The 15488-nt window shown below is 42.7% G+C and overlaps 1 protein-coding gene across 3 annotated transcripts in view, besides 1 other annotated feature; it reads left to right on the top strand.

The window, feature by feature from the left end:
• SETD7 (SET domain containing 7, histone lysine methyltransferase) overlaps positions 1-15488 on the top strand; it is a 63246-nt gene that overhangs the window by 39093 nt on the left and 8665 nt on the right. For 2 of the 3 annotated variants that reach the window (NM_030648.4, XM_017008661.1), the window contains one exon: positions 5284-11089. The exons of the other annotated variant lie outside the window; for it this stretch is intronic. In NM_030648.4, the coding sequence (NP_085151.1) occupies positions 5284-5464 (181 nt within the window). In that variant the 3' untranslated portion in view covers positions 5465-11089. Of the gene's footprint in view, positions 1-5283; positions 11090-15488 lie in introns of those variants that run through there. 3 annotated transcript variants of the gene reach the window in all.
• Positions 13247-13296: a silencer, noted in NCBI's record as "silent region_15702". NCBI's record gives its function as "represses an Ori minimal core promoter by ATAC-STARR-seq in GM12878 lymphoblastoid cells {active_cell/tissue: GM12878}" and the evidence as "EXISTENCE:reporter gene assay evidence [ECO:0000049][PMID:35858748]".

Below are 15488 nucleotides of genomic sequence, written 5' to 3'. Positions count from 1 at the left end.
AGCGTTGGAAAAGACCTATAAAATCAGAGTCCCTATTATTTGATACTAAAAAGGAATGAAGTACTGACATATTCTACAACATGGATGAGAATTGTAGACACTATGCTAAGTGAAAGATGTATGATTCCATTTATATGAAATGTCCAAAATGTAGGAAATCCACAGAGATAGAAAGTAGATTAGTGGTTCCCTAGGGCTGGGGAGGGGTGATAAGGAGTGTGTGCTAATGGGTATGGGATCTCACTGCGGTCTCATTTTGGACTGATTAAAATGTTCTAAGGCGGGTGTTCTAAAATTAGATGATGGTGATGGTTGCCGAATTTTGTATGTATTTGTGATATTCAGTGGTTGAAAGGCCACTGAATTATCTACTTCAAAAGGTAAATATATATAAAGGAGTACATATATTTATACTCTGTATATAAATTATATATTAACAAAGCTGTTTTTTTTTAAAAAATCAAATAATCCTCTTAGAGTTTGAGCCTTCTCTTCCATCTGCTCATTGAACCTCTTCTTGGAAACCTCCATTGGTGTGGAGCTTACATTATCCACAAAGGTCCAGACAAATAGACAAATGAAATAGACATTACAAAATTAGCTTCTGGGCTCCAATGACTAGAAAATTCTTTTTCATTGTTTTTTTTTTTTTTTTTTTTTTGAGACAGAGTCTCGCTCAGTCTCCCAAGCTGGAGTGCAATGGTGAGATCTCGGCTCACTGCAACCTCTGCCTCCCAGGTTCAAGCAATTCTCCCACCTCAGCCTCCCGAATAGCTGGGATTACAGGCACCTGCCATTATGCATGGCTAATTGTTGTATTTTTGTAGAGATGGGGGTTTCACCATGTTGGCCAGGCTGGTCTTGAACTCCTGACCTCAGGGGATCCACCCGCCTCAGCCTCCCAAAGTGCTAGGATTACAGGTGTGAGCCACCGCCCCCGGCCTAGAAAGTTCTTTATAATAAGCCCAAATGGGTTTCCCTGAAATATTCAGCCCTTGGCTCTAATTGTCTCCCTTTTTTTCCTGTGTCCCATGTCAGACTCTCTTTTACATGGTAGCCCTACAAACACTTTAGTAGTTTTTACATGACCCCTGAACGTGTTCTTCCCAAAGCCAAACATCTCTGACTGTGCTCTAGAGGATATAATTGGGATTCTTTGTGCCATCATCGTTGCTCTCCTTAGCTTGGCCTGAGAATGCCAGCTCTTCCTGGGAGCCAGTGAGCTGCCTGCAACCTTTTCTGTTCAGTTATAGCTTGCAGTCCCTCGGTCATCTTGCTTGTTAGCATAAGCAAAATCAGATCATGTGCATTTAATCTGTAGGCAAATTGCCAGGATTTGGAGGTTCCTCAAGAATGTCCATCCCTGCATCCTTGAAATGGCTTAAAAATTTTCCTGGCAACGACTTGCTCTCCTTGGCAGCCCTTAACAAGCACTGAAGCTACAACTTCTGTTTAAAGGACGGGTAGAAATGGCAAAGGACATGTGTCATGTGAAATGAAACTGACACTGTGATTAACTCCAAGGCTTTCATGGCCAGGGTGAATTAGGCCAAAGTGTCATTCCAAGCTGCACACAGCTTAACAACAACCCTTTAAAGGGGTGGTAACAAACAATCATAAATGCTACTTAAGACCACTCCTTTAAAACAAACCAGGTTGTTGATTTCATTGCAAGGACATGATTTTTCTCACCAAAAGGAAGACAGCACAGGAGACAAGAGAAGATTTCATTTGTACAAAACCAAGTCCCTGTACTCTGCAGGTTTTCATTTTGTTTATTGTTGTTTGTTAGTTTGTTTGCAAGCAAGCCCAGGGTGACCAAATCTTAGTTATTTGGGGTAATGAGAAGACTACTTGAATAATAACCAAATATGAAATTCAGATACCAATTTATGGTATTCATTTGTTTCAAAAATCATTGGTATTGATATGTACCCTTTTTTTTTTTTTTTTTTTTTTGAGGTGGAGTTTTGCTCTTGTTGCCCAGGCTAGAGGTGCAATGGTGCGATCTCAGCTCACTGTAACCTCCACCTCCCAGGTTCAAGTGGTTATCCTGCCTCAGCCTCCCAAGTAGCTGGGATTACAGGCATGCGCCATCACGCCTGGCTGATTTTTGTATTTTTAGTAGAGACGGGTTTATGCCATGTTGGTAAGGGTGGCCTCAAACTCCTTACCTCATGTGATCCACCTGCCTCGGCCTCCTGAAGTGCTGGGATTACAGGTGTGGGCCACCATGCCTGGCCCTGATATGTACACTTTAACATAAACAAAACACTTCCATAAGCTGTTTGAAACGCAATCTAGTACAAAATGCCAAATGGACAAATAGATAAGAGCTGCTTTCCTAGACAACCTGTAGACAAGAGGCTAAGCCACTTGGCACAGAGGTTTGGTTTGACTGCTAATCGTGTAGCTCACGTTTATAGACCACTCACTACGGGCTGGTGCTGTGCTAGATGCTCTTCATGCATTGTCTCATTCAGTCCTCCCAGTAACTCAGTGAGGCCACTGCTATCACCATTGAGATCACAGACAGGAAAAGCAGGTCTCCAAGGCAGAGCAGTTAAGGCTCTTAACCACTGTGCCTTTGGGTCATCTTCAACAATCAACACCTGAAATTGAATTCTTTCTTTTCAGTCTGTCCCTTATCTACACTCTGAAAATGATGATGATAATGAACAGGAAAATGTAAATAAAAGAGGATTATAAGAGAAGCTCTAGGCCTGGAAATTCAACACAGGGTCTGTTTTTTGGTTTTTTTTCAGTGTACCAGAGGTTAACCAACCTGTATTTCAGGAACATTTTTTTTAGTGAAATATGTTAATTTACTTTAATTTTTTTTTTCTGAGATGGGTTCTCTGTCATCCAAACTGGAGTGCAGTGGCATAATGTCAGCTCACTGCAACCTCTGCCTCCCAGTCTCGAGCGATCCTCCCACCTTAGCCTCCCAAGTAGCTGGTACCAACAGGTGCACACCACCACCCCTGGCTAATTTTTTGTATTTTTGGTAGAGGTGGGGTTTCACCATGTTGCCCAGGCTAGTCTTGAACTCCCGAGCTCAGGTGATCTATCCGCCTCAGCCTCCCAAAGTGGTGGGAATACAGGCATGGGCCACTGCACCCAGCCAAGTGAAATATTTTAATTTAAGCAAAGAGTTGTGATTTTCATAAGGAATTCCTGAATCCACAGTCCACGCATCTCTTTGTGGTGGAGTACAGGCTGATAACTGTTCACTTTTGTGTTCACACATGCATGCTCACAGGCAGGCAGTAACCAATATTAGTTGAATCCTACTTTGTGCCAGGCACTGTATAAGGTGCTTTCTATATGTGACCCCATTTTGTCATGACAAAGACCCTATGGGATAACTATTACTAGTATTATCATGATTTTACAGATGAGGAAAGTGAGATTCAGAGATATAAGGTGAACTTTCCAAGAGGATGCAGTAAAAATGTGTTGAATCAGGACTCACACCAAAGTCTTCTGACACCAAGTGTCCTTTCCACAAAACATGATATGATACCCAAGAGGGTGGACATAGAGGCCCCTTTGGTGTGAGGTAAAGGTTGTTCCTTTTTACTCCACATAAAAGAAGTCCCAAAGCTATAGACATGCCCATTCCTCCACCACTGATAGAAGGAACCAGCCAAGTACTTACTATCATGCCCCAAGCACCAATCTTTTTTTTCTTTTTTTTTTTTTTTGAGACAAAGTCTCACTCTGTCATCCAGGCTGGAGTGCAGTGGAGCAATCTCAGCTCACTGCAATCTCCACCTCTTGGGTCCAAGCGATTCTCGTGCTTCAGCCTCCCAAGTAGCTGGGATTACAGGTGTGCGCCACCACACCCAGCTAATTTTTGCATTTTTAGTAGAGATGGGGTTTCACCACATTGGCCAGGCTGGTCTCCAACTCCTGACCTCAAGTGATCCACCCCCCTCAGCCTCCCAAAGTGCTGGGATTACAGAGGTGAGCCACCATGTCCAGCCGCCAAGCACCAATCTAACTTAGGGCCTGGAACCTTCTCCTTTGCTGTCTCACCAACCCTTTGTGCAAAATATGACTATAAACTGGGCACAGTGGCTCACACCTGTAATCCCAGCACTTTAGAAGGCCAAGGTGGGCCAATCACTTGAGGCCAGGAGTTCAAGACCAGGCTGGCCAACATAGCAAAACCCTGTCTGTACTAAAAATACAAAAAATCTTCTGGCCATGGTAGCACACACCTGTAATCCCAGCTGCTTGGGAGGCTGAGACATGAGAATTGCTGGAACCTGGAAGGTGGAAGTTGCAGTGAGCCAAGATCATGCCACTGCACTTCAGCCTGGGCAACAGAGCAAGACTCTGTCTCAAAAAAAAAAAAAAAAAAAAAAAGAATAAGAAAAAAAAAGACTCTAAATGAATGAGATTGATTTGACCAGATGCATATAAAAATAAAGCTGATTTCTTCTGGCCATGCCTTACATGTATCCATTTCAGCAGCTGTTAGGTGAGCTAAGTCTATTTATTGCTTATTTATCTGCCTGTTCTGCAGGGAGCTGTGCAGATGAACAGGATTGGGAGCCTTCGGCAAATGAACATAGCCATAGTGTTAACCTCGTTTCTGGTCCCAAGAGGACTTGTTGTAGGAAGGAGATACTGCTCTCTTCATAGGATGCTTCACAGGGAAATACTAAATAAACAGGTTGGCAGAGAGGTCTAGACTTCCCTCTTGGGAAGAAATCTTCATCTACTTTCATGCTAGAAAATAATATTTCCTCTCTATGTATAGGGTGGAATACAGAGTTTTTGCCTTTGAAAATCCACAGGGCTCTTTCTTACAACTCCAAAAGCACTCTGGTGAAGCCTTCTCCCTGAGATACAGCCACGTAATCTGATGCTGCTGGCCAGACAAGCTCAAATGCTGGCGGGCTGCACTGGATCTGATTTCTCATTAACGACAGATTTTTGTTGTTGATCATGATTGTTGGTTTATAAATGCAAGGTGCCAAATATGCTTTAAAAAACAGAGCAGTGCTTTTCAAACTTTAATACACCAGTGGATCGCCTGGGGGTGTCGCTAAAATGCAGATTGCAATCCAGCAGGTCTGGGATGGGGCCGAGATGCTCCATGTCTAATAAGCTCTCGGGTGAAACTGATGCTGGGTGACCACACTTTGGGCACATACCAGGTGTGCCCAGGGAAGAGTGCCTGGGGGTGATTCCTGTATCAGCCCCTCCCTAGCCTTTGCTTCCAACCTCCTGGTCTGGCCCGGGAATGACTGTGTGCATCTTGATGTTTAGGTTTGTCCACCCCCGTTTTGGGCCCATCAAATGCATCCGCACCCTGAGAGCAGTGGAGGCCGATGAAGAGCTCACCGTTGCCTATGGCTATGACCACAGCCCCCCCGGGAAGAGTGGGCCTGAAGCCCCTGAGTGGTACCAGGTGGAGCTGAAGGCCTTCCAGGCCACCCAGCAAAAGTGAAAGGCCTGGCTTTGGGGTTCAGAGACCTGGAATAGAAACTTGGATCTATGCACTACGTTTATCTGACAATGGGACAACCAGGGACTGCTCATGCTGTGACGTCACATCCTCTCACCATGCGTTAGCAACGACTTTCTCGCATACTAACTAGGTTTGACTGTATTACTCATACCAGATTTAAAATTAGCTAGCCTTGCAACAACGTCCTACTGAGAGGTATTGTCGAGCATTTGACATAAGACAGCGTGATGTTCTTTGGTGGTTCAAGTCTAAATCTGTACCACATTCGGAGATGCCAAATGATTAGACTGAAACAGGGAAACGGGGTTTTTCAGTCATTTTTAGTCAGTGGTTTTTCCATAGTGCTTTTTTCCTATGGCCAGTGCAAATTGTGTTAGCACACTTGCATATGTGCCGTATTAAGGGTTGACAATTACTACATCTTTATTCTCTAAATGTAGTATAATTTGCCTTTTAACCTTTGATCTGTATCTTGCAATAGAATGGCTTTGGTTTTTTTCTTAGTAAATAGGAGCCCACTTCTAAAGTCATTTCACCCCTCAGCCCTATTCTCTTTCTTAGATACCCTTTACAAGAGAAAACTTCCAAATGGATTTTTGCATCAATAGCAGTGTGTAGGTCTCTCTGGTTCTTTCTATATCATCATTTTATTATTATGTCCTAATATAAAGTACTGGCTCATAGGGCCAGGGTATTATTATAGAATATTATTCTCGCATGTAAACAAAGATATCTTTGCTTTAAGATGTGAGAAGAAATGAATTTACTTTGTTTGCATTAAGTTATGGAAGAGTTGTAATATATACTTTAAGAAAGAAGAGAAGAAAACTAGTATCTCTAAGCGGTAACTATGGCAATTTTGCAATATTTTCAGTAGTGCTAGTAATTTTTTCCTCCTTGAGTACACATTAAATGTACATAACATAGCGCGGTCAGGCTTGTGGCACAGTGCATTGAATTCAAAAGTCAAACAGCAAATTTGAATTCTAACAGAATTCAAAAAAAAATTTTTTTAGTCAGTACTACTAAGGCAGACACACTGATTACTAGGTACAAATCAAACCTTGATGCTAAAACTCTTCATCATTGTAATTTCAAAGCACTTACCTGCTTCAAAACATTGTAAACTAAGACTGAACACCTGTATAGTTTAAAAGCAACACTATCAATAGCATTTCAGCCATTTTGCCAGCCATGTGTAATCACAACTGCAGAAATAAGGAGAAAACCCCTGTTTTTTTAGTTTAGCTAATTAGATCTGTAACATCACTGGGATTGCTCTGAATGAATCCTGAGAGTTTTGTTTTTTATAAGCACCCTCACCACATGCCATAGCTTTGTCTCTTTTAGACACCTCGATGCAGCGGCTGGAAGGACTGGAGAGCAGCTGTTGTGCTGATCTGTAGCTGTCAGCTGTGATTCCTGTCACCTGAGTCAGTTTGGTCTGGAAAGCGAAGGCCTTCCAAGCTGTAGCAGATAGTGAGCTCCAGCTGATGAGAGAAGGCTTCAGTGGAAGAAGAGTGAGGACATAGGCAGAAGGAAGTTTGCTATTTCTTGTCAGTTGCACATTGCTTTATGAAGACTACAACAAAAGTGCTTAATCCCAGGCTGCTCATGACTTTCATTTCAGGTGGCCCTTGGGCACATTGACAGAGTTGCCCTTCCCTTCTTTGCAACACCAGGCTTCCTAGAGCACCCGGTTGCATGCTTTGCAGCTAGGTGGCAGTGGTTTCAGGGAGATCCAGTTGGATCCCTGCTTGAAAGCTTAAGCCAATGGTTCACCCATGAGAGGAAGTTGTCAGTGCTTCCAGGAAGATTGCCCACCAAAGGAACTGAATAGTTTTTAGATTTAAAGGCACCAGGATAGGGTCACTCTTACTCTGTAGAAAGAGACCGTTCTATACACTGTGACGGATGGGCCAGGGCCTCTGGACTTGCATTCTGATAGGTGCTTTAATTTAAATGTGCCCAAAGGGAGTGACTGTCTTCAGGAGAAAGATGGCTTGCATTAACCTCGATCAAGTGGGTTGTGCAGCCAGGTCAGGGAATACGGTCAGGGAGAGGATAGTGCTGGTCATGCCCCCGATGCAGCTATGCTCTGAATGATTTCATTCCTGAGAGTGATAGCATTCTGGTCCTGGCTGCAGTGGGGTACAATTTACGTCCTAAGTGGGGGCTACTCTAATTATCCCATTCAAATGGAATTTTTTTCAACATTGGATAGAAGGAATTGAAGAGTTGTAAGTAGTGATTAGTCTGCTAATCAGTTCTTCAGATGAGATATTGAATGGTAACACTCTGAGCTTAAAACTCAGCAGTGTGTCTGTGACCTCCACGCAAATCAGAGGAAGCAATGCATCCACGCTGAGCCTCACCATGTCTTCCTCCCAACTCTCTTCATACTCTCTGTGTCTTCCAGCTCTTCTTTCTCTGGCCGGCTCTCTTTCCTCTTCTCTCTGCATATGTGAGAACGCCTGGGCATCCTGGGTAACAGCAGCCCCAGCTGCCCTCTCCTGTTCCCTGTTCCAAGTCCCCTGCACTGACCTTTCTTGAGTCTCTCTGGCTCTGTGCATGTCTTTGGGACTCTGCTCATCTGGCTTTTCCTCTGTGTGTGCCTCTCTGTTTGCTTATGTCTCTGGCTCTGTCTTCCCCACCCCTCCCCTCACACACACACATACTCCCAAATGTAAGGCTCTGTGGCAGGTTGGAATCGGAGTAAGGCTTGAGATTCACTGAGTTCTGTAGGTAGGGAAAGAAGTCAAGGGAGTGGAGGTTCTATAAGGAATTAACAGCTGAGGACGGAAGGGTTTGTTTCCCGTTTGAACCTAAACGCAAGTGGAAAAGAATACTCAGAATGTATTTTTCTACTTTACATCTGCTGGGGAAGGAAATGTGTCAGGAAGCCGCTGCATCTGGTCATTTCATCGCATCAGAATCACAGCAGACGTGGAAGATTCCATGTGGTGGGGAATAAAGAAATAACTTTATGCTCTCCTGAAAAACAGCGGGAGCCTATGTGTGTGTGCGACACTGTAATCTCAAGGAGATTCACTCAGAGCTGTCTCAGTCCAACTCCTGCATGACCAGATCTTCCCTTAGCATCTTTTCTGTGATGAAATATTATCTTGTGTTAGAGTTAGGAATAGGAACTAACCTGTAGGAGCATGTCCCCAAATGGACATTTGAATGGACTAACAAAAACAACTGGAAAGACTGAATTTCCGACACAAAGGAATGATGGGATCAAAAAGAAAGCAGTGAGGAGTTCTTGAGTCTTGTAGTACCTATTCTTATTTTAACTTGCTTCATCCTTGATCTACCTGAGACACTAAGAAGGAAATTAGTTTTCCAAGAGCTCTTTGAACCTGTCTAGGACTGTAGTTAAACCTATTTGCCCTATGGGGGTTCTTCACACTCGAAAAACTATTTCCTTATCACCAACGACCCACCCAGAAAGGCCAATGAGGCCAAATGTAACAATTTTTAACATTTAAATATAACTATTAAAATTGCATTAATTGTGAACAGTGAATTAAAGGGTTGTCTTCTCCAGGAGACAGTATGTGGCACTTTTCGTAAATTTCATTTAATATATAAAAATTTAAATCACTCACTGCAACATGCATTTAAAATCTTCCAAGAAGGTAGAGGTATCATTTTCTGTTTTGCTTTGTTTTAAAACAGTTGCCTCAAGCTTCTGTCTTAAGAGTAGTGACTTAGAATCCAGATATCTTTTGTTTTAGAAAAACAAGCAAAACTATGTTGCAAGACTGACAGTTGTAATGTTTATTTGCCACAGATCAAAGGTTCACAAAGTATATCAAATTTACATCTACTTGGGGTACCTTGATAGATTATTATTGTTTTTCTTTTATCTTTCCCTTCAGGAATTTGGAAACTCGTTGTCACTTTTTTTAATTTTAAAAATACTAAATTGTAATAGTTTTCTTTTGCCAAATGTGTGCGTACATATTCAAAGCAATGAAACTATTTCAAGCCATACAACCACAGGGGTGGGAACCCTTTTCACAAATTTTAATGTGTTTGTATGTAAATAGATGTTTGTATGAAATATTTTCATGATAGAATGAATATATTTAAATGAAGTTGAATTATTCCAGTGCTACTTAAACACATTACAAAAATTTTGGTGAGAATTATCTGAGTCTATTGAGATGTAATGCAGATCAATTTTGATTTTTAAAAATCAAAAGCCTACAATAACTCTGACTCTCAGCAACTTCCTCGGCGTTGTTGCACCTGACGTGGAGAGAGCTCGTAGGCTTCCCCAGTGCCTCAGCCGCTTCCTGGTGGAAGTTAGGTGCTAATGGAGGTGTGTTCACCTTTTAGTGATATCACTGCAGGCCTTTGAGGGGCCTGAGAGTGAATCAGAGGCATTAGAGACACCGGTGCAGTTATCTGGAGCACAATTTCTTTGCAGGGCAGCAGAATCAGAAGCCAGACTTGGCCATGTGAACCTCGAAACTCGGTTTCCCGGCCGCCATCAACCGCCACCCTTACTGCCTAGTCACACACGTCAGGGAGGCTGCCCTCAGTGGAGTTGGGGTTGAGACCCCAGGGTGGGACTTCACAGTTTTGCCAGCAATCTCTACCTTCTGACTTCTGCCTCGCAGAGAGGAAGGAGAGGGGAGCATCTGGCAAGGGGCCCATTTCTCAGCACAGTACATTTCCTGTCTCAGCTCTGGAAGACTATGCACCCAAGCACCAAACTTCCAACCAGAGAGAGAGACGTCCTCCGATAACAAAAATCCTTGCTTCCTCTGTCTGTGACTTTACACACAGTTGTTCAAAGTTGTTAAATGTCAAGAGTCAATCACATCCCTAGGACATACCTCCCAACTCTCCTGACTCTTATGTTATTGAAAAAACAAACAAACAAAAACTCCTTTATGATGATATTCAACTTGAGTGGGGTTTTTTTTCCACTTTGGTCCTGGATATAATGAAATGATACATATTAGGATAAATTTTCACTGTGTATAGTAGCAATACGAACACACATGCCAATGTATCAACATATCTACTTGGTTACATTTTGGTTTATGATAATTAACCTTGATTCATGTATTGGGAAGCTACAGGGACTACGTAATACCTGCTTATCACATAGGAAAATTATGTCCATGATTCTGAGCTCCCTTCTTCAAAAGTTTCCTCCTGGGTGTTCTATGTTCTCTCTTTATCCTGAAATACATTTATTAGGTTGTGAGGTATGTTGAAGAAGTAGAAGCCAGGGGTATGCTTTCAGCATTTATTGCAACCAAAAGTTAACCCCATCACGGTTAACGAGCATCTTTGGTCTCTTGTGGAATTTGAACTAAAACTATGAGCCTTATTCAATATCTATAATTCTATGATTTTTTTAAATTATGGGAAATTAATGAAAGATGTTTACATGAATAATGTTTGCCCTTACTGTGTTATGAATGAGTTTTTTGTAGTGTGTCTGGGTGCATGATGCAAGAGAGTAGGAAAAATGTTTCTGAAACAAAACTTGACAAATATTTGTAATGAAAGTAAATTTAAAGATTGCTATAATTGCGCTATAGAAACAATGCAAGTATTAAACAAAATATACAATCATCTGTCATTGTCTTCCTTTGGTCATCTAGGTTAGAAAAGCAATAATGGTTTTCTTATAATGTGTCTACCTGTATATTTAAATTACTAAGTGAACTTTACATTTTAAGTTGTTTTAAAATATTATTAGCCATTTATCATTTTCAGAGCATTCTAGTAAGAGCGGAGGATTTGATATGATTCCACATACACCCATAAATCCAGAAGGATTAGCCACACCAACAGAAAGTGTCGGATTGAATACATACATGGTAAGGGTATGGAATGCAAATGAGATGATCAGGGCAAATAGCTGAAAGGAAACTTCAATTCATGATTTAAAGAAAATATAGAAATTTTGTTAGACGTTGTGGTAGATTTTGGCAGTCTGAGGATGAGTCTGAGCTGAGAACCCTGGCAATCCCTTATTCCTGCCCTAATCACAGTCAACATTTCCGTTTTTTTTTTAATCTGAGATGAAGTCTCACTCTGTCACCCAGGCTGGAGTGCAGTGGTGCAATCTTGGCTCACTGCAGCCTCCACCTCCGGGATTCAAGCGACTCTCCTGCCTCAGCCTCCCAAGTAGCTGGGATTACAGGCGCTTACCACCACACTCAGCTCATTTTTGTATTTTTAGTAAAGACGGGGTTTCACCATGTTGGCGAGGCTGGTCTTGAACTCCTGACCTCAAGTGATCTGCCTGCCTTGGCCTCCCAAAGTGCTGGGATTACAGGCATGAGTCACCGTGCCCAGCCAGTCAACATTTGTAAAGCACAAAAGCCAGTGACAAAAGGAGTCAACATAGTACCTCATTATTAGCTGGGCCTTCTGCCCAGGACCCCAAAGAAGTGAATTCTAGGAAGTTTGGCAGGGCTACACGAGGCACAGTTAGGCCTCAAACTGAAGCAGGCCATGAGATCTCCTGCTTTATTTTACCTCCCTCAGTTGCCCAATCCTTGATTTTATCACACTTCCTTCCATGGAAGGAAGGAAACAGAAACGAGTGAGATGACTGGGTCCAAACTGATGTTGGATCAGCTTTTCCACCTGCACAGACACATTCACATGCTAGATCTTTCAGGCAAGGCTTCACCCTCTAACACGCATGGGTCAAATCACAATATTAATATTCTTCTTCCTTGTGGGAAAGGGGAATACAGGATTAAAAATTTAATACAGACTGAGGGAAGCTTAAGAAGCTAACCTTGAAAGTGAAAGATTGGGCAACTTTCATGGGTTAAGATGATTGATTTGGGCCCAAATGTTGTAGAATGAGGTAATGTGAAAATTAAGACAAAATTATGTTAGACCAAATTAGTAACCATCCCAGCTATACTAATGGGATGGTTACCAATATCTGCCTTTGGGTTTAAATGTTTGGAATCATTCAGACTGCTAGTTTATATTAAATGTGAAATTGTTTCAGCAGTCATCTCTAGAACTAGGTAACAGCTATCGAAGGACTTTATGCTGTAGTTTCATTTAGTTTCAATTCAGCATCTGACTGATTTGGGATTGTTCAATAAGAAGCCTCTAGTTGAAAAATAAGAGGAAGAAGAAGAAATTCCATTCCTCCTCTTGAAGCTGAAAAAAAAAGGAAAAACAGAAAAGGGGTTTCTGCTCCAAAAGTATTTCAGAAAATGACTGTTACCTTGCAGATAGATAGATAGATAGACAGATAGACAGATAGATCATGGTAATTCCCTCACGACATAGTGGTTTGCTCGATAAATGTGTTTTTCCTTAAGTTTTGTTTATTTACAAAAACCAAAAGCCAGGGTTTTGAATTTAGAGCTTCACTTCTTATAATGTACACGGAAAAAGATTAATGGATCCATCTAGATTGCTACCAAATTTTTACTTCTGTAAGTATCAGAATGCTTCCAGCTTCAAGAAACATCAAAGCTCAACTCAATATGGCCTAAGTAATAAAGAAGGTTTACTATCTCACATAACAAGAAGTGCTGAGTGGCCCTACAGTTAATTCAGCAGCTCCACCAAGTTCTTCCCATCTTTCCACTCTGCCTTTCTCAGCTTGTCTGCTTTGCCTTCAGGGGCTAGCTCCCTCACAGCCACAACATTGCTGCCCAGGTTCCAGCCATCACAGCCAATTTGGCCCCATCCAATAGATGAAAAGGAAAGTCTCTTCTATGGCCTCTATCACTGAGGAAACTCAGCCAATCACTGGCAATGGCTACAGGGGCACTATGATTATCTGAGTGAAGCATATGGCTGTGTGGCCTGAACCAGTTTGGGGCTCTCCCAGCAAGTAGGAAAGGGAAATGATAGTTGGGTTGACCACTCACAGTGTCTGCCTCATCTGCATCATGAGTTTTGTTTTCTTATTTTCCTCAGAGAAGAAGGGAGGTTAGTCTCTTCAAATAAATTAAATAAATGGATTTTTAAAAATAATTCAAATCAGTTTAGAGAATTTATCAGGGGGGCTGTAGAGGGGGGTTTACAAAGATATATTTATCTAGAGTTTTATCAGGCCGTTTTAAGTGTTTTAGATTATTCATTTAATCTTTTCAACAACCATATATATAGGTACTGTTACCACACCATTTTACAGAAAGAAAAACTGAGGCATAGAGAGGTTAAGGCACATGGTCGCAGAAGTAGAAAGCCATAGAGGCAGAGTCTGAAGCCGGGCAGCTGGGCTCCTTGCTGCTCTCCTAACCATACTTATGGGAGCTCTCTCTCCTGCCCTTCTCTCCGCTTGCTCTCCAGGGGTTAAGGCCAACCTTTAGTATCCTGTGTCTTCCTTTCCCTTGATCATCATCCACTTAGCCTACCAATCAACTGATCTCTTTGACTGGGTCCCTCTTTGATCCAATCCATGCAACACACAGACCAGCTTCTTTTTTTTTTTTTTTTTTTTTCTGAGACAGAGTCTCACTCTGTCGCCCATACTGGAGTGCAGTGGCGCAATCTCAGCTCACTGCAACCTCCACCTCCCAGGTTCAAGCAATTCTCCTGCCTCAGGCTCCCAAGTAGCTGGGACTACAGGAGCATGCTGCCATGCCCCGCTAATTTTTTGTATTTTGGTAGAGACAGGGTTTCACCGCCCAGTCTGGTCTCGAACTCCTGAGCTCAGGCAATCCGCCCACCTCAGTCTCTCAAAATGTTAGGATTACAGGCGTGAGCCACCACCCCCAGCAAGACCAGCTTCTTATAATTTTATTCTCAGCCAATTTCTATCCTGATCCCGAACTTCCACCTCCTCTGCCTGGATTTCCAGCATAGCTTCTCCATCCCATCTCATTTCTCATTCTTTGCCTCCACCACGTGAAGCATCCTCCGTGATGGGGTTTCCCTCTTCCCGCCTCTGCTTCTCTTTTCCTGCCTCTCTGCTGTGGCAGAGGGAGGGTTGTGTGGTGGAAAGGACTTGAGATCTGGAGTCAGACTGGTTTCACCCGGCTTTGCCACTGTCTGTGTGACGCTGGGCTTTCGACTACTCTCTGGCAAATAAGGATTTGCTGTGGGGTTCAGAAGACTGTTTTCATGTCCTCTCTCCCTCTTCCTTCCTGTGCTCCACCCACACCCACCCCCTTGCAGTCCAGGAGAGCCAGGCTTGCCCCGCTCTTGGGCATGTCTTTCTCCCAGAGAGCCACAGGCTCTGCCCTCGTGCCCTTCAAGTCTTTGCTGCATGAGGACTTCATTGACCACCCCACTTAAACTGCAACATTCTCCTCCCCCAGCATTCCGAGGCCACTTTACCCTCCTTTATTTTTCACCATGCTTCTCATTACCTTCTAGCATACCGTAGAACTTAGTTATATTATGTTGATTGTTTATTGTCTTTCTCCTCCCTCTAGAATAGACAGGGATTTTAGTTTGTTTTATTCACTAACATATCCTTAACATTTGATACACTGTAAGCACTCAATAAATACTCGTAGAGTGAGTGCATGAATGAGAGATTGTAATGATTAGGAGAATTGGGTAATCATCTTGGGTTGAAATCCCAGCCTTGCAATTTCTAGCTGTGTGACATAACTTCTTTGTGCCTCAGTTTTTTCTATTTGTAAAATTAAACTGTGATGACAACTGGGGGAAAAAAAGATTGAGTTTTGACCCATGGATTGAGCTCACTAACTTTGCTCCGCCTGCTCTGGGATGCCACCTTTCCAGGCATAGCCACAGCTTGCCTCCTTCCAAGCAGTCCCCCGTGAAGAGCCCCTGCCCCAGGAAGCCTGGCCTGACTCTTCGGGACCTGCCGTGTCTCCGCTGCCCTGCCACATGTGGATGGACACTGCCAGACCATTATTGTGTGTTCTCGATTGTTTAATGAGTGAAGCATCTAGCTGGCCTCTCCCTTAGATGACAGGCTTTGCGGGGATCACTAGGCATATCTTCCTGGATGTGCACAAAGCACTTTCTAGGCATGTGATGTGGGAGTGACTGAACTAGAGTACTTTTA

Source organism: Homo sapiens, chromosome 4 (assembly GCF_000001405.40).
Source record: "Homo sapiens chromosome 4, GRCh38.p14 Primary Assembly".
NCBI lineage: Eukaryota > Metazoa > Chordata > Mammalia > Primates > Hominidae > Homo > Homo sapiens.
Note: the sequence above shows the minus strand (reverse complement) of the source record. Positions and strands in the feature narration are given on the sequence as shown.